The 19,732-nt window shown below is 36.1% G+C and overlaps 1 protein-coding gene across 13 annotated transcripts in view; it reads right to left on the reverse strand.

Moving 5' to 3' along the window:
- The window catches only part of MAP4K5 (mitogen-activated protein kinase kinase kinase kinase 5), a 142,606-nt gene that overhangs the window by 67,747 nt on the left and 55,127 nt on the right, over nucleotides 1-19,732 (reverse strand). For all 13 annotated transcript variants that reach the window (XM_047430898.1, XM_047430897.1, XM_047430893.1 and 10 more), the window contains one exon: nucleotides 18,533-18,590. Coding sequence is in view for 12 of the 13 variants with exons in the window: in XM_047430897.1 (XP_047286853.1) it covers nucleotides 18,533-18,590 (58 nt within the window). In the remaining variant the exon portion in view is untranslated. The remainder of the gene's footprint in view (nucleotides 1-18,532; nucleotides 18,591-19,732) is intronic.

Consider the following 19,732-nt stretch of genomic DNA (forward strand, 5'->3'; position numbering starts at 1 on the left):
CAATAAATATTAGAGATGAGGAATGAGGCATTCTTAATACTTCAATGAAAATGTAAACTGGTAGAATCTTTCTATAAAGTCAGAAGTCTTTAAAATATACAGAATCTTTGAACCCACAATTTTACTTACAAATTTTTTTTTTCTTAAGGAGATATGTACAAAGACAGATGTTTACCACAGTATGGTTTAATAATGCAAGGATGGTTAAATAAATTACAGTACAGTGTGCTGTGACATGAAAATAGGTTTATATTATGTGAAAAAGATTATATATTATTTAAGTATATAGAAAAAGTATTGCAAAAGTAATTTTGCTTTCTTCCTTTTTGGTCTGTATTTTACAATCAAACCCTTATGAGTTAATTAGAAAAAGCTACATTAGGCCAGGCAGGGTGGCTCACGCCTGTAATTCCAGCACCTTGGGAGGCCGAGGTGGGCGGATCACTTGAGGTCAGGAGTTCAAGACCAGCCTGGCCAACATGGTGAGACCCCGTTTCTACTAAAAACACAAAAATTAGATGGGTGTGGTGGTGGCACCTGTAATCTTTAAACTTGAAATGGAACTTCAAGTTTAAAATCAGTGGGCAACATAGTGAGCCTCCCTCTCCCAACTAAAAAAAAGTTCAGTGGTGTCCAGACAGACTCTGGCTCTAACTCAAAGTCATCTTAGAAAAACATACAAGGCCAAGAAGGAAAAACTCAGCAATTAGGTCTTAGATAAATAAACAAAATCTTCACACAAGTCAGAGATATTTTTTCCCTTTATACTTTCAACTTTTTCAGTTCAAAACCAAAACAGAGCTTTAAATATTCTTGTCATGCCATTAAAAGCTTTTAAAGAACCTATCACTACTGATGTGGTTTAAACATCTATTTAGTTTCATACAAAAATTAGCTGAGCATAGTGGCAGGTGCCTGTGGTCCCAGCTACTCGGGAGGCTAAGGCAGGAGAATCGCTTGAACCTGGGAGGCGGAGGTCGCAGTGAGCTGAGAGCATGCCACTGCACTCCAGCCTGGCGACAGAGCGAGACTCCACCTCAAAAACAAAACAAAACAAAAACCCATACATACATTTAGTTTAACTATTAATATGACACATTTATTTATAATCATTGGAACTTTTTTTAACAGTCAATTCACGTAAACATTAACTGATAGTTCAGTTACAGAATTTCATGTTAGCAATTTTAAAGGGTTAGGGAAGCCAAATGAGGGTACAATCTTCTAACTGAATGAACGTCTGAGAGAAAACCTTTAAAGATAATCTACCTTTTATTTGTAACCTGGGAAAACATGTATTACATAAATGGTTACGTATACCTTAAACATAAGTGTACGAATGGCTACTTGTTACAATTGAAAATGTGCTTCTTAATGGTTTTACAATAAAAGAGGATCAAAGGAGATAATCCAAAATAGAAGATGATCTCCTGTTCCTCATTATCAGTTTAGCCAGCTGTGAGTAAGCCCTGAAGGTGACAGTAGAAAGTCTGCCTACCTAGGTGCAGAGGAAAGGCCCTGCTTTCTGTGTTCACTCGCGGGCACCAGAATACTTTCTTCTTTTATATCACTCCTCCATCTGAGCCTTTTCCATCATAGCATTAAAACTTCTCCTTTACGCATGCTAATTTCCCTCAAACTGGCTAAATTCTAGCCCATCTTTCATGTTTGAAAAAACATGAATTACAAAGAAGAGTAAAGCAGCACATAATTTTGTTAATATATGTGTATATATATTAACACATATATATATAGTCCATTCTCACACTGCTATACAGAACTGCCCAAGACTGGGTAATTTATAAAGAAAAGAGGTTTAATTGACTTACACCTCCGCATGGCTTGGGAGGCCTCAGGAAACTTACAATCATGGCAGAAGGGGAAGCAGGCAAGTCTGACACTGTGGCAGGTGAGAGAGTGTGTGTGTTACAGGAACTGTCAGACACTTATAAAACCATCAGATCTCATGAGAACTCACTATCATGAGAACTCACTATCATGAGAACAGCATGGGGGAAACCACCTCCATGATCCAATCACCTCCCACCAGGCCTCTCCTTTGATGCCTGAGAATTACAATTCAAGATGAGATTTGGGTGGGGACACAAAGCCTAACCATATCAATATGTTATTCTTTGGATTCCCACCTACTCACTTTTAAATGTGCACAGAAGCCTTATATCTGAGCTATGCTGAGAAATTCTTCAGTTAAGTCTGGGATTTAGAACAGATTTTCTCACAAGAGTAGCTTCACATAATATGGTGCCTAACTTCTCAATTGTGTGTAAATTCTTAAACTGACCCATAAAAGTCAATAATATGGCTGAATTAATATTACTAGTAACAAACTACTAACTCTTGGTAGTAGTTTGAGTTCTGGGTTCCACCCTGCAACTGTGTTTCCAGCAGCAGCTATGTGAGGTTTCTATCAGGCAAGGTGAGGTCTTGGTGAGAGTGAGTGACAACTTTTTACAGCTGTAGCTGGAAGCAAGAATTCCCAAGCACAGGTTATTAATAAGTCAGATGTTTGAACTCCACCTTCAGATATATTCTTCGTATATCTGCTTCACTATTATATTATTTGAAACTTTAATGCAAAGAGAGTAAAATCTTCTGTGAACTGAAATTGTATCATGGAAGAGACTTACATAAAGCTACTATTTTTGTAGTTTATCCTGAGAGGTAAGTAAGCTAAATATGGTTATCACAGATGTAGCTATTCTTTGATGGCCTACATCAGCCTCATAAAAATAATCTGAAATTCGGATAGTTGATTTTATTCTTTTAACTGGGTGATACGCCAAATTAATATTACTTTCCACTGAGATGTGGCATAAAATCCACTAGGTTCAGAGAACTTAGGCTTGTAGGTTCCAGCCCTGTTGCTCACCAGCCTGGGCAACATAGAGAGATCTCGTCTTTCCAAAATAATAAGCTAGGCATGGTGGCATGCACCTGTAGTCCCAGCTACTCAGGAGGCTGAGGTGGGAGGACTGCTTGAGCCCAAGAGTTTGAGGTTGCAGTGAGCTATAATCACGCCACTGCACTTCAGACTGGGGAACAGAGTGAGAGTCTGTCTCCAAAGAAAAAGGTACTTGCTTAAAGAAGAGAAATTTTATTCTTCACACCCTGACAATGTAAGGATGAGACTAGTTGAGAACCACAGAGCCCCTTATCTTATCTTCAGTTTTGACTATATACCTATTATTTCTATTTGAATGTCTTGCTAGTACCTTACATTTAATACATGCCCTGAAGTACCAATATCTTCTCTTAAAAACCAATTTTTCTTCCTGACTTTACAGTTTGTGTTAATGACACTTTATTCTAAAGGATTAATCACTACCAGTCTGATCATAGCCCTCCTAACAAAATCTACCTCCATCCATGGCACTGTTTGTGTCATGTGACCTTGTACTAGCCAAAGGAACCAGGGTGAACAACTGACTTGAAAAGAACTAATCCATAGCCTGGCAAGAGCTAATCACATTTGATCTCTTGAAAATGTGAACCATGGAGACTCGGTCAGTTGTCAGTTACCAGCAGAATCATAATAAAAGTGAAATATTAGAACAAGAGGCCATGAATGACTATGGCTAAGATTCCTAGAGATGTCCTACTGGAAACCTGGCTGCTGAGTACATCCTTACACAGGAAAGGGAGAAATACTAGAGACCGAAAGTACAGGTTGTTTTTTTTCTCCTCCTTTCTGTAAGGGCAGTTGCAGGTTCTACCAAACCGCAGACAGAGATGGGAACCACTGAAGACAGATGCTTATTTCCTTGGGCTCCTCAAGTATGCATGGGTGTGTGTGTGTGTGTGAGAGAGAGAGACAGACAGAGAGAGACAGAGAGCGAGTGAGAGTGTGTGTGTGTGTGTGTGTGTGTGTGTGTAAGGGAACTCAGCCTGATACTCTTAGAAAAAAAAAAAAATGACCCCCTTCAGCCAGAAAGGGGAAATATGTAGAGCCAAAAGGGATGGTAGTTCTGTATCTGAGACAGTAGACACTGGAACTAGTCCTAATTAAAATGATAAATTATTAAAAGCTCCTAAAACTGGCTTGAGCCCTGGGAGGTAGCTATAAAAATTAACTAAGAAATGTAGATATTTGTTATAGCATGCTGGGTTCTAAATGATGTTAACATTGGGGGTTTGTGTTTTAAAGTTTTTTGAAAAACCACTGTATTACTGTTTAAATTAAGCATGTTCAGTAACCACTAGAGCAATGATCACAGCCTCCAACATAGTGTTTCAAGGCTGACATTAAGAGACAGATTTGCTAAAAAGTGTACAAGTACAAGATCCTGAAGGCCAAGTTTTCTGCCCCTTGTTTCTAAGCCACCTTCTGCCTAGCAGGCACACTGCAACTCTAAACTACAATTTTTAACTGGAGTGGGCAGCCAACCCCCTAAAACAAGTTACACTACAAAGATACAGCCTTAGTATCTGGGGTCACCTTGAGGGGCTGGTCTTTGCTCCCAGTTTCACAGCTCTGAATACAATTAGCCAATGCCAGTGTTAGCTACCACTTGCTTCTGCTACCATCAGTGCATCAAAATAGGATCAAGTTAGACATTATTAATGCCACACTCAAAACACTTGTAAAAACATAGTAAGAAAAAAGTAGAAATCTTGGGAAGCAAAAGACTAGAATTTTAGAGTTTCCTAATACTATCTGCAGGTTGACATAAAGCAGTTAAGCCTTCATACTCTGGGGATGAACTGGAGTAAGTCGGTTGCACCCCTCGTGTATAAGGGTCCTCTGCATTACATTTGGATTCAATACCCTCTTAAAACTTTCTTGCAATCAAATGAGTCCTAACAAATAGTACCTGGGAAGGGATTAAAAGCAGCAGACCCTCAGATTTTTTTTCAAAAAAAGGTACTAGGCATTAAAACCTGGTTGTGCCAAGATAAAAGGCAGTAAGATTCATCACACCCCTCCTTCCAAAAATATGACAGTAGATCACAGATTTAATACTGAGGTAATTAATTCAACCAATGTCTATAATTATGTGGATAGCTATGTTTCCTGAGCACAAAGTCTATTATCTCTCTTTTTTTTTTTTTTTTGAGATGGAGTCTCGCTCTGTCACCCAGGCTAAAGTGCAGTGGTGTGATCTCAGCTCACTGCAACCTCTACCTCCTGGGTTCAAGTGATTCTCCTGCCCCAGCTTCCAGAGTAGCTGGGATTACTTTTTGTATTTTTAATAGAGACGGGGTTTCACCATGTTGGCCAGGATGGTCTCAAACTCCCGACTTCAGGTGATCCACCAGCCTTGGTCTCCCAAACCACTGGTATTACAGGCATGAGCCACAGCACGCAGCTTATTATCTCTTAAACTCCTAAAACTGTGTTCCAAGCTATAAGCATGAACTAATACCAAAAACTATCCTCTAACATTACATACTGAACTTTCTTTTTTTTTTTTTTTCGAGACAGGGTTTCACTGTATTGCCCAGGCTAGAGTACAGTGGCACGATCTTGGCTCACTGCAGCCTCAACCTCCTGGGCTCAAGCAATTCTCCCACCTCAGCCTCCTAAGTAGCTGGGATTACAGGCACATGTCATGACACCTAGCTAATTTTTTGTATTCTTTGTAGAGCCTGAGTTTTGCCATGTTGCCCAGGCTGGTCTCGAACTTCTGAGCTCAGGCGATCTGCCTGACTCAGCCTTCCAAAGTGCTAGGATTACAGGTGTGAGCCACCACACCTGGCCTGAGCTTTCAGAAAGTTAGCACATTATAATAATTCTACAAAAAGTATATTAGTGAGTATTTTCCATTTGTTATTTCATCAAATATCAACTGGTTTATGCTTTTTATGTCTACTGTATTTCTACTTCATTGTTCATGTTGAAATTATTAACGTGATGCTTCGAGTTGTATTTCCTATTTTAATCCTCTAATTTTTAACTAATCTCACAGAATTATTAATAAATCCATGACACTGGATTTGGTAGTGATTTCCAAGATACAACACCAAAAGCACAGGTAACAAAAGCAAAAACAGAGAGATGAGACTGCCTCAAATTTCAAAATTTTGGCTGGGTGCAGAGGCTCACGCATAATCCCAACACTTTAGAAGGCCAAAGTGGGAAGATCATATGAGCCCAGGAGTTCAAGACCAGCCTGGGCAACATAGCAAGACTCTGTCTCCACAAAAAAAACACAAAAATTAGCCAGATGTGCTGGCGTGTGCCTGTAGCCCCACCTACTCAGGAGGCTGAGCTGGGAGGATTACTTGAGCCCAGGAGTTCAAGGCTGCAGTGAGCTATGATCACCACTGCACTCCAGCCTGGGTAACACAGCAAGACCCCATCTCAAAAAAAAAAAAAAAAAATTTGCTCACGAAAGGACACAACCAACAAAGTGAAAAAGCAACCTATAGGAGAAACTATTTGCAAATCCTGTATCTGGTAAGATATATCTGGTTGAGAAGTTAATATCCAGAATATGTAAAGAAAACTATCAGACTCATGCCTATCCTATATAGGTATCAATAATGGAAACTACCATTTCTTAAACTAAAAATAATTGTTTTATTCCATATTATTGTATCCACATTAATATACTTATCTTAGAAAAGTAAGCCAATGTAGAAAAATATAAAGAATGTAAGCCACGTACGGTGGCTCATGCCTGAAATCCCCACTATTCAGGAGGCTGGGGTGGGAGGACTGCTTGAGCCCATGAGTTTGAGGCTGCACTGAGCTATGACTGCACCACTGCCCTCCAGCCTGAGACTCTGTCTCAAAAAAAAGAAAAAAAAAGGAAAAAAAAAAAGAGAATGAAATAAAAATCACCCATAAATGTACCAGAGACACCCACTGTTAGCTTTCTGTTTGTTCAAGAGACAAGGTCTTGCTGTCACCCAGGCTGGAATGCAGGGACACGATCATTGCTCACTGCAGCCTCAAACTCCTGGGCTCAAGCAGTCCTTCTGCCTCAGCCTCCCAGGTAGCTGGGACTACAGGTATATGCTGCCATATCCGGCTAATATTTTCAAAAATTTTTAGTAGAGACATGATCTCCATTACGTTGCTCAGGCTGACACCATGAGCATTTTGATTTTTTTTCCAGTCCTGTAAGTACTATACTTATGAAGTTCTGCATATCACATACACAATTTGGACCATACTCCAGAGTTTCACAGACTATTTTCACTAATCAATATTGTGTAAGCATTTCTCATGTCATTAAAAATCACATAAAAGTTACCCAAACTGGAAAGAAATAAGTTAAAAAATCTCTGTTCACAGATGACACGATCATATGTATAGAAAATCCTAAAGTCCATTAAAAAAATCTATTAGAACAAATAAACAAATTTAGCAAAATTGTAAGATACAAAATCAAAACAGAAAAATCAGTTGTGTTTCTATACACAGTGAACAATCAGACAAGGAAATTAAGAAAACAATTTATTTACAATAGCATCAAAAATAACAATTAGGCCGGGTGCAGTGGGTCACGCCTGTAATTCCAGCACGGGCAGATCGCCTGAGGTCAGGAGTTAGAGACCAGCCTGGCCAACACGGTGAAACCCTGTCTCTACTAAAAATACAAAAATTAGCTGGGCGTGGTGGTGGGCGCCTGTACTCCCAGCTGCTTGGGAGGCTGAAGAACGAGAATCACTTGAATCCGGGAGGTGGAGGTTGCAGTGAGCTGAGATCATGCCACCGCACTCCAGCCTGGGCGACAGAGTGAGAATCCATCGCAAAAAAAAACAAAAACAAAAACAAAAAAAAGAACAATTAGAAATAAACTGAACTAAGGAACTGAAAGACTCGTGCACTAAAAACTATAAAACATTGCTGAAAGATATTAAAGATGACACAAATAAGTGGAAAGACATCCCATGCTCATGGATTGAAAAATTTAATATTATTATTATTATTTTATTTATTTATTTTTTTTGAGACAGAGTCTCGCCTGTCACCCAGGCTGGAGTGCAGTGGCACAATCTCAACTCACTGCAACCTCCGCCTCCCGGGGTTCAAGTGATTCTTCTGCCTCAGCCTCCCGAGTAGCTGGGACTATAGGCACATGCCACCACACTGGGCTAATTTTTGTATTTTTAGTAGAGACGGGTTTCACCATATTGGCCAGGCTGGTCTCGAACTCCTGACCTCGTGATCCGCCCACTTCAGCCTCCCAAAGTGCTGGGATTACAAGCGTGAGCCACCGTGCCCAACCCAACTTAATATTACTAAGATGTCAATACTACCCAAAGTGATATAAATAGCTACACAATCCCTATGAAAAATTCTGGTAACATTTTTTTTTGCAGAAATAAAAAAGAATCATTCTAAAATTTGTATAAAATTTTAAGAGACTCTCCATAGCCAAAACAATTTTGAAAAAGAAGAACAAAGTTGGAAGACTCATGCTTCCTGATCTCAAAACTTACTAAAAGCTACCATAATCAAAACAGTAGGGTACTGACATAAAGACAGATATATTAAAGACCAATGGAATAGAACCGACAGCCCAGAAACAAACCCTCATGTAGTATATATGGTCAAATGATCTTCAACAAGGGTATCAGAACTACTTGATGGGGAGAGGGCAGTCTCTTCAACAAATGGTTTGGGGAAACTGGATATTCACATGCAAAAGAATAAAGTTGGACCCCTGCCTTAAACCATACACAAAACTTAAAATGATTTAAAGATATAAATGTAAGACCCCAAATTATCAAACTCCTAGAAGAAATCACAGAAGAAAAGCTTCATGACATCAGATTTGGCAGTTATTTCTGGTATATGATACCAAAAGCACAGGCAACAAAAAACAGACGAGACTACAAATGAAATTTAAAAAATTTTGTTCACCAAAGGACAAAATCAACAGAGTTGAAAAGGCAACCTATAGAACAGGAGAAAATATTTTCAAATCCTGTATCTAAGAAGGGTTTAATACCCAGAATATATAAAGAACTCCTACGACTCACAAGAAAAAATCAAATGACCTGATTTTAAAAATGGGAAAGGACTTGAATAGACATTTATCCAAAGATGACCTGCAAACAGCCAATAAGCACATAAAAACATGCTCAACATCATTAATCAGAGAAACTCAAATAAAACCACAATGAGATATCACTTCACATCCATTAGGATGGCTACAATTAAAAAAAGCAGAAAATAAAACTGGTTAGAGGTGATGTGGAGAAGCTAGAACCCTTGTATACTGTTACTGACATTGCAAACTGGTGAGACTGCAACAGAAAACAGTATTTCTCAACAAATTAAAGGTGGAACTATCATATGACCAATTCATGCTTTTAGGTTTATATCCAAAAGAACTGAAAATAGGATCTCAAAGAGAGATTTGTACACCCATGTTCATAGCAGCACTATTTACAATAGCCAAGAGGTAGAGGCAACCCAGTTTGACAGAATGTCTATTGACAGATGAATGAATAAAACTGTAGTATATGAAAACCATGCAGACTTAAAAAGGAAGGAAATCCTGTCATATGCTATAACATAGATGAACCTTGAGAACATTATGCTAAGTGAAACAGCCTAGTCAGAAAAGGACAAATACTGTATGATTCCACTTATATAAAGTATCTAAAGGAGCCAAATTCATAGATACCAACAGTAGAATGGTGGTTACTAGTGGCTGTGGGGAGGCAGCAAAGAGTTGTTGTTGTTTAATGAATATAGAGTTTTAGTTTTGCAAGATGAAAAATTCTAGACAACTATTTCACAACAACGCAAATATAGTTAAAACTACTAAAAGATGCACTTAAAAATGGTAAAGACAGCTGGGCATGGTGGCTCACATCTGTAATCCCAGCACTTTTGGAGGCCGAGGCAGGTGGATCATCTGAGGTCAGGAGTTCAAGACCAGCCTGGCCAACATGGTGAAACCCTGTCTCTACCAAAAACATAAAAAATTAGTCGGGTGTCGTGGTGGGAGCCTGTAATCCCAGGTACTCGGGAGGCTGAGGCAGGAGAATGGCTTGATCCCGGGAGGTGGAGGTTGCAGTGAGCCAAGATTGTGCCATTGCACTCCACCCGGGGTGCCAAGAGCAAGACTCCAACTCAACAAAAACAAAACAAAAAGCAAAAAAACAAAAATGGTTAAGATGGTAAAGTTTATGTGTTTTTTACTGAAATTTTAAAAATATTAAAATGATGTGAGCATAGCCTAATTTAATCATTTCACTACAGCTGGATGTTTAAATGAATATATATATACACACACACATATATTATTATATATATATTTCTTTCTTTCTTTTTTGGGACAGGATTTCATTCTGTTGCCCATGGTGCAACGCAGTGATGTGAACATGGTTCATTGAAGCCTCAACCTCCTGGGCTCAAGTGATCCTCCTGCCTCAGTGTCCTGAGTAGCTGGGACTACAGAAGCAGGCTGCCGTGCTCTGCTAATTTTTAAAAATTTTTGTAAAGACTGGGTCTTATCATGTTGCCCAGGCTGGTCTTGAACTCCTGGGCTCAAAAGATCCTCCCACCTCAGCCTCCCAAAGTGCTGAGACTACAACAGGTGTGAACCACCGCTCCCAGACCAAAAAAATAAAAATAAAAATAAAAATAAAAATAAAAACTTTTAAAACAAGTATTTAAAATAAATATGCAGTAACCTAAAAATTTGTATATCATTTAGAGCAAAATTACAATGTAAAAATTAGATCTCTTAATTAATATTTGCAATGGCAAAAGTTTTCTGTATTAGTAAGTACTAGATACATTTCTGAAGTTTATGAAATAATGTTAAAGATAGTTATCAAAACGAAAACTAATTTTAGCGGTAGTTCATTATACAGTGAATAAATTAGCAGTACTTTTTCAGAAAATCAATCCAATGCTAAATATTCAATCAGCTAATTTTTAAATAACTATGAAAAATACAGTGACACAATGGTGGCAATCTTGTGAATATGGTTGTTTTGGTTCATAATAAGTAAATATGGTTTTTTTCCATTGAGCATAATGAATGTACAATGTTAAACAGAAGACATTAGTAAACAACACTAACCTTTATTCATTTTCTGTATCTATTATTTAAAACCAATAAAATGACATTTGGGGCATGTATTTGTGCCTTCAAATTAACATTTTCCATTAATTCAGACTTGAACTGTCCAAACAGTGAAGACAGGATACAAATATTTTACTTTACAGAATATTTTTAAAAATCAAGATTGTTAGGTTTTTGAATAGAAAGTCTGAAAAGAACATACCACGTAACCTGAATAGATGACACTTGTCCTATTTGGCCAAACAGCCTACCCTGGGATTTCTTTCAAGAACTTTGCCAAGTTCTTTCAAGAACAAGGCAAACTAATGGCTGGTTTAAACCTCCGTATAGTTCCTGACTTTTTAACACTTACACTACCTTCTCTGCTTATACTTTCAGGAAACAAGTTAAAGTATTCCCTGCAAGTCCAAGGAAAGCTTTAAACATCTATTCAAAGATATTTAAAGATTCCTATTTATTTCAAAAACTGTCTAAAGAAACACATTTAACTTATTTTATTAAAAAATACTAAACTATTTTATAAGTATTTCCGATTTACCGTTTTAAAAGACAAGCAAGGGAACAAACCAAAAGGGTATTGCATTAATCATCCTGGGTAGTGATGTATTAAATTACATCCCTGTAAGCAAGGCCGAAAATATTTAAATAAACTGTAATTTTCATAAGCTTAAAATATTATTTTGTAGTTTTGCCATAAAAGAGGGGTAATGGAAGGAGGAGAGAGGGAAGGGAAAGTAGGATTCTGATGGTAAGTTTTCCCACAAACTTTGTTCCTGCTCTGGCTGTTGGCCACCAATAGCTACAGACTTGTTGGGCAAACTGAGCATCTGTAAAATGAGTTAGATGGTAGGCTGAAATTCAGACAGAAGACAGGAAAACATGGTGGCATGAACCATCACAGTATCTGCCTGGGCTTATAGGGCACTCTGGATGTCTAATCAAAGAGATGAAAAATGCAACTAAAACTCACAATGGTATCACTGGTGGTATTATTTTCAATGCTAATCACTGGTAAGTCAAACTCTATTTAATGTTACCATTTGTAAGGTGGTGACTTTAGTAAGTATCTACTATAAAAATGAGATAGAAATGGTTAAATCATTCCTGAAAATAATCATTTTGCCTATATATACAAAGAGCAACAAGAACATACAAACATAGGAAGGAATGCTGACTTCATTTTCTTTTACAAATATTTTTGTGGCTAATTAATAAACGCGATTTTCTGTGCTAACCTATTTTCAACTCTAAGGCTTACTGTAGCATTTTTTTGACTATTAGGAAGACCTTCAAAAGCAATCTGTTTCAGCAAAATTTTGAATATAGCATTATAAAATTAAATTGCCAGGGGCAAGTCAGTAAATACAATTTAGGACTCTAAAATTACTATAAACTTTAATATCCTATTTTTCACCATGGAGAAAAGCATGTTAAGTTTACAGCTGGAATTTCATTTACTTAAAAAAATTTTTGTTTATGTATTACCAGACATAAGTTTTTTTCTAAGTCACACTGGCAAATAATTATCTTTTCATGTCTAAATACAATTTTAAACCAGTTCATCTGTTAAATCAATACAAGAAAGCACTTTTGTATTATGCTGGCTTTAGTGCAAGTTTTTGAAAGCTGCTAAATACAGTTGAGAATTCATTTTTGAAATACAGCAGTCTCCAAAATTATTTGAAGTATCTGAACTGAATGTTGGGAAAATTCATTAGCATACCATCATATTTTTAACCTAAAGATACCCTTAAGTCTGTTCCAAAAATGTGAAAAATACCATCTACTTTGGCTTTACTGACAATGCTAAAAGTCCACTGATTTTCCACAAAAATTCCACAGCAAAAAAAAAAAGACAAATACAGGATGCTGAAGATACGAAGAATTTGTTTTGAAAGAAAATTTAAGACAACAGTGCTTCAAACTCTCAGGGATATGAAAGGGGGAAAAAAGAGTACAGGAAAATTAAGGCAACAAAATGAAACAGAAAGAATGCTGGTAGAGTTAAGGGGGGAAAGCTGTGTAAAAATAATACTTATATAGAACTAATAAAAACATTGGAACCAACAAGGAATAGAAGCAGTATTGGGGGCCAGGCATGGTGGTTCACATCTGTAATCCCAGCACTTTGGGAGGCCTAGACGGGCAGATCACTTGAGGCCAGGAGTCCAAGACCAACCTGGACAACATGGCGAAACTCTGTCTCTACTAAAAATACAAAAATTAGCTGGGTGTGGTGGCACATGCCTGTAATTCCAGCTACTCAGGAGGCTGAGGCACGAGAATCACTTGAACCCGGTTGGCAAAGGTTGCAGTGAGCCCAGATTGTGCCACTGCACTCCAGCCTGGGCAACAGAAAGAGACCCTGTTTAAAAAAAAAAAAAAGTCACTGATATGGAAGACTTTAAAAATTCATTACTTTCCAAAGTAATGAAATAAATTCAAGAATCTTAAAACAAAGTTTCTTGAAATAAAGAAAAAATCAAAACTGCAGATGAAAAAAGCAGCTCATTGTGTCTCAGGGAGAAAAATCTGTAGAAAATTATTGAGACCAAGTTATATTCTGTTGAGATTACTAATTTTGAAGACAAAGAAAGAAATGCCAGCTTTTGCTACAATCAGGTAGTAACAGCAAGTTATCTACCAGGGGAAAAATATCAGTTAGGCCTTACATTTCTTTCCAACAATATTCAAGGGAAAAAAATGTCTATAGAGTTTTTTGAGGGTAGAGGGAGAAGAACGTGTGATGCAATCATTTTATACCTAGTCAAATCGTCATTCTCATTCAAAGGCAACAGAAAGACATCTGTAATATTCTTTTATAGGAGGAATATTTATTGCAGTGTCCGTTACATGCTTACACTGTCCCAAGTGGTGAAATATAGCAGTGAGGATAGATAATCGCTATTCTCATTGATCTTACATTCTAGGAGAGAGACAAACACAATATATACACGTATACATATAAACAAACAAGAAAAGTATCAGGCACTCACGTGTCCTATGCAGCGAACTAAAATAACAAGGGCATTGGCCTCTCCGAGGATATGATATTTATTTAAGCTGAGGTCTGAATGACCAGGAGCCTTCAGAGCAAAGATCTTGAAAAACAGTTACCTCAGGCAAAAGGGAAGAATTGCTTTAATCTTGGACTGTTTAAATAAAAAGAAAACAGAGGCATAGTAGAGTAGGCAGAAACATATGCGATGAGCTCAGAGAGGTGGATAGAACAGATCATGTAGGGTTTTATAAACAAGGCTAAAAATCTGAGTATTTTTCTAAGTTGATATGAAAGCTTCAGGGAAGTGTTAAGCAGAAGTGATGATATGATTTATGTTTTTAAAAGTTCACTCCAGAGGCTTTCTGGAAAATAGATGGTGGGGAATGGGAGGTGTGGGCAAGGCAACAGGCACTAGAAGGGTGGAGATGGGTAACAAAGACAAGTAGATGGATTCAGGATGTGTTCTGGAGGTAGAGCTGAGGGAACTTGCTGACAGACTGATTCTTGAGCACAAATAAAAGAGAGAAATCGAGGTTAATGCCTACATTTGTGGATGGGTTAACTGCTTAGCAAAATGCAGAAGAAAAGCAGGTTTGAGAAGAATAATCAATTTATGGATTTAAATTATAATATTCCTAATACGGGAAAATCTTTTTGATAATATGACTTAGCCTATTGATAGTTGATACTAAGTAGGTGAGAATGGAAAGGAAATGGCATAAAAAGACCAATGGTGGGTAGTAAATCTACTAAATATAAAACTAAGTCTAAATAATTGGTCATGGCATTTATAAATTATAAATATTATATTTCTTAAAAGAAGGTACACATAGTAATACATACTCATACCCCAGTGCAATCAGAAAGTTTCTGGGCTAAAATCCCCAAATAAACCAATGAACAGTTGAAAATTGGGGGGATGATGAGGCAGGAAGAGTATAAATATGCAAATTTCAAAATCTGTAAACCAAGAATTCAACAGATGACTGTTTTATTTCTTAAACTGATAAACTAAAACACCCACAAATTTAAGTATATTATTCAAGGTCTTACAAGCCATTCTCTGACAAAACTACAGAATTGTATCTTACAAATTATCAGCAGTAAAAATAAAAGAAACCCCCAGCTATAATTTTTTTTAAAATTTAAGAAAATATTAAAAACAAAAACAACAACAGAATTAAAATTAAACATCTCTCCAAACAATATAATAGTGGACAGATTCACATATTAAAAAAAGAAAAATTCAGATTGGGTTATAAAACAAAAGTCAAATATAATTTTTTACAAGAGAAACATCAACAACCTAGAAAGGATAATGATAGGCCCAAGTATACCAGTTCTATCCATTTGTTGTATGCCACATAAATATAAACAAAAAGAAAGGAGGGTTGGCAATATCAATGTCAGATAAAGTTATATTCAAGGTAAAAAGGGTATCAAAGATCATTAAGGGAGTGAATGATTAAACATGGAGGATGCAAGTCACAATAGTAAGGGAAAGACTGAAGCCACTGACCAATATGAGTGACTAATGCATTATACATTTATTCCATTATTCTAACTCCCCCACTGGAATTCAAGTTCCGTGAGAACAAGGTCTTTGCCTTTTTGTTCTCTTCTACATTCCTATCCTCTAGAACAGAGCTTGGCGTATATTAGGTATTCAATAAATATTTATTAAGAAATGAAAATATAACATGAATTTTATGGGTCAACTGACACACATATAATACATTAAGCAGATGTGCCACAAATGGAAGGAGAAATGGACAAAATCACTCTAGTGGAAGATGATCAACACTTCTGTCAGAACTCATTTATGCCTACTGTTCCATTATGGGAACGCTAAGCACGTGGGAGTTATTTATAGCCTATGGCTCAAGGTCATCACCAAGGTCTGATTTTTCACACGTCTGCAATTCAAAAAACTGCAAACTCCAGCATAAATGGGTTAATAACACTGGAAGCACTATCCTACAATGTGAAAGTCTGGGCCAAAATAACATTCTATGTATGTCCGTATAGTTGCAAAAACCACGAAAAACATTTGAAAACTGCCAGAAAAATATGAATTCTGTAAGACTGCCAGAGACAAAATATAACCAATAAAATCAATGGCGAAGTAAATATCTATAATAACCAATTAGACAGTGTAAGAGGGAAAAAGGAAGCCATTCCCAATAGCGAGAAATACCATAAATATGAAGACGTGGCAAAAACTTTCCTAAAGACCTGAATAAGAAAAAACCTTTACTATTGTCAAAATGCCAAATATCCTACATTAATCTATGTGCCTTTTTTCTTCTTGATAAAAATGATTTTAAAGTTCTGAAGAAAAAAATTTTACAAACAGGAAATACCTGAAAAATAAAAAGAGTGAAGATTATAATACGCAACAAAAGTTTTGGTAATCAAAACCAGGATAGTGTTGAAGTAGGAATAGAAAAAAGAAAGTCACTGGAACAGAACACAAAATCTATGTTTACATGGAAATTTAGTTTATGACAACCAAGGCACTTCAAATCTGTGGATAAGAGACTGAATCTATAGTAATGGCTTTGGGAAACTAGCCATTTGAAAAAATACATAGAGAGAGTTCTCTTTCATCCCTTAGAACAAACTTGCTCCTGATTGAGCAAATATTTAAATTTTGGAAGGAAAAAAAGGAAAAACTGGAAGAAATTACAGTTCAAAATTGTTATAATTATCTAGGAGAAAAGGCCTAAGTACAAGGAAATGGGGAATAGAGAAAGGAGGACTGACAAATTTGTCGGAGAGAAAAAAGAACACTTCCACATGGAAAAAAAAAAGTATAAGCAGAGTGCAAAGACAGAAGACAAATTGTGGGAAGTGTAAAATACATGATGAAGAGTCACTATCCCCAAAATGCAAACAGCATCTAAAAATCAATAATAAAATACAAATAACCTGATAGGACTGGGGCAAGGCATAAGAATAGGCAACCAAAAAAATTTTTAAATGGCCAAATACTAAGATCACATCATCAATATTTACTGAACTTCCATGTTATTCTTTTTTGGGGGACAGGTTGAAATATTACTCAATCTTAATACATGGGTCACATCTAACATAAAATAATCAGTAGCTTTTACAAAACAAGGCAGTGAGAAATTCCAGCCTTTCAAAAGAGTCTTATGATCCTTGCATTTAATCCTTATATTTTAAGTAATCATACACATATTTTTCTTTTTTACTGAATTGCCTTCTTATGTTAGTTCTAATATATGGCTTATTGAGAATTCAGAATTGCAGGATTTAAAAAATACACTCATTAATTCATTATAATGAACTATAATATTAGGTTGGCAAAAACTGCTATAATATTAGGTTGGCAAAAACTGCAATTATTTATGCATCAACCTAATGAAAAATAAGCCATACCCTCAAGTCAAGTAAGTGAAACCGTGTTGTAACAAGCCCACTGCACTCGCTTAAGACAGAAAAGGGATAAATATCTTTGTTTTCTCTGAGAGCACACGCCAGTACCTGGACATAACTTGAATAACCATCCTTGAACATAATTTGAATATTTGCTCTAGTGACTTTTCCAGGACAGGCAAAGGCTTGTATAGTTCTGTTATATTCCCTATTTGTGTTAGTGACATTTTGGAGATCATTTTAAACTTATTAGGTGGCACTTAATAAGAGGATCCTGAAAGAGTATTATTATAACAATTTCTATTTGCCAGGACAAAAAAGATACTGGGACATATCTGAAAGCTTATTTTTAAAGTGTTCCAGCATATGCTACCTCAGTACTATTATCTCTCTAATGAATCACATGTATAATGATTCAAATACTGTGTTTGAAATGCAAAGTCATTTTAACCGCTCAAACTAGGAAACTGGCATAATTATGGTCACAAACTTATCCTACGTGCCTAAGCTTATGAACCAGCAAATGAACATACCACCAAATATTCGCTTACCTGGTCAAAAACTACTACTGCACTCATTAGAAACTTTTAGGATATCAAAATCATAAAACCGTTCCAGGACTATAGTTTTATTTGCAAAGCAAACTATTCAATGTGTTTTGAAACAAGCAGTCTTCTGACACACAGAAGTGTTAATAAAATAAGCATTAAGCTAAGACCAGAATTAACAAACCTAAATCAATCAAAGGGAATAGCTGACAAACAAATGTCATTATCCCAAATATTCACCCCAAAAAATCATTGAATACTTTCCTAATCAAATTCTCATAAAAGCTAAACCTGAAGTTCAAATACTTCACTATCATCTTAAAAGAAAATTACTTTAACAGTGTCAATGTGTCTTCCAATTCTGAATGTGTACATGTCAAATTTTATTTGGCAACAAAACTGTCACATCAAACTTACCTTTAACTAACCACCTTCAGGGTAATTTAATTGAAGATATTCTACTGACCTGATAGAACATATAAAGACTTCTTCTGGGAAGAAGGGAAACAAGGAAAGAAATATGGAAAACCCTCAAAAATTGTCTTGAGGGTTTTAACACATACCAGGCTCCAATTTAATGATTTTTACTGCAGCCAGCTCTCCTGTGTGTACATTTCTGGCCTAAAAATAAAATAAAAACAAAAATCTTGTTAATTAAAAGCTTGTTAATTACATTAAAATTACTTGGTACTATGTTAATTGCTTATCAACCATACTTTTATCAAAACTAAAAAACAAAATATTTCCAATAAAATGCTGAGCAAACTCATTTTCCCATTAAAGAAAAATATAGATAAGACACAAAAGTGTTTAAAAAATTACCAATAGTCCCACCACTCAAAAACAGCTCCTGTTTAAAATTTGGTCTACTTCCTCCAAGGCTTTTCTTCAGCCTCGGGTTAGTTAATATTTTTAATTTTAAAAATCTCATGGGTTTTATTTATATCAGAAAACATAATCATAGGTCATTAAAAATTTTCATCATCTGTATCTAACTACCTAGAGAAAAACAGTGAACATTTCAGTGTACATGCATCTCTTTCCTGGTACACATATGTATATGCATGTGCATTATGGAAGAAGATGACCCCATCATAGTCTTCTAAGACATGATTACAAATGCTGCCTGATTTTCCACTGACAGGATATATAATTTACCCAACCCTCTATTGTTGGGCATTTACAATTTTAATATTATTTTCAAGTTATAAAAATAGGGATACATATATCTTAGCTTTGTATCTATCCACAGCCTTATTTCCTTCAGTTAAATGTCTAGAAGAGAAACTATTTACTATTTAACACAATATCAACAAACTTACTATAATTAGCACTGCAATGAATATCATTACCAATATTTTACCATAGATCAGCTTATAAGGAAGGCAACCTAGACATACAATTGTGAGACCAAAAGGTATGTGGACTTATAATGGGTATGTTGCCATATTGCTCTAAAACACTGTGCGAATTTTTACTGTCATCGACCTTGGATGTTAAAACCTTGGATGTTAAAACCATGTCTGCCAAAACTTATTGTTGGTGAAAATTAAATGATTATAACATAGTCCATATAATAATCCTCTTTATTGTTGGACATAAAGGATGTTACATATAGTCTTTTCATTATTTAAGACATATTTGTTTTAAATGGATTCTAAGATACGGTATTACTAGGTCAAAGGTTGTGAATATGAACACATACCATCAAATAGTCTAAAAACATTTTACCACTATACTCTCTTTGTTAATGTGAGTGCTCA

Source organism: Homo sapiens, chromosome 14 (genome assembly GCF_000001405.40).
Source record: "Homo sapiens chromosome 14, GRCh38.p14 Primary Assembly".
Taxonomy (NCBI): domain Eukaryota; kingdom Metazoa; phylum Chordata; class Mammalia; order Primates; family Hominidae; genus Homo; species Homo sapiens.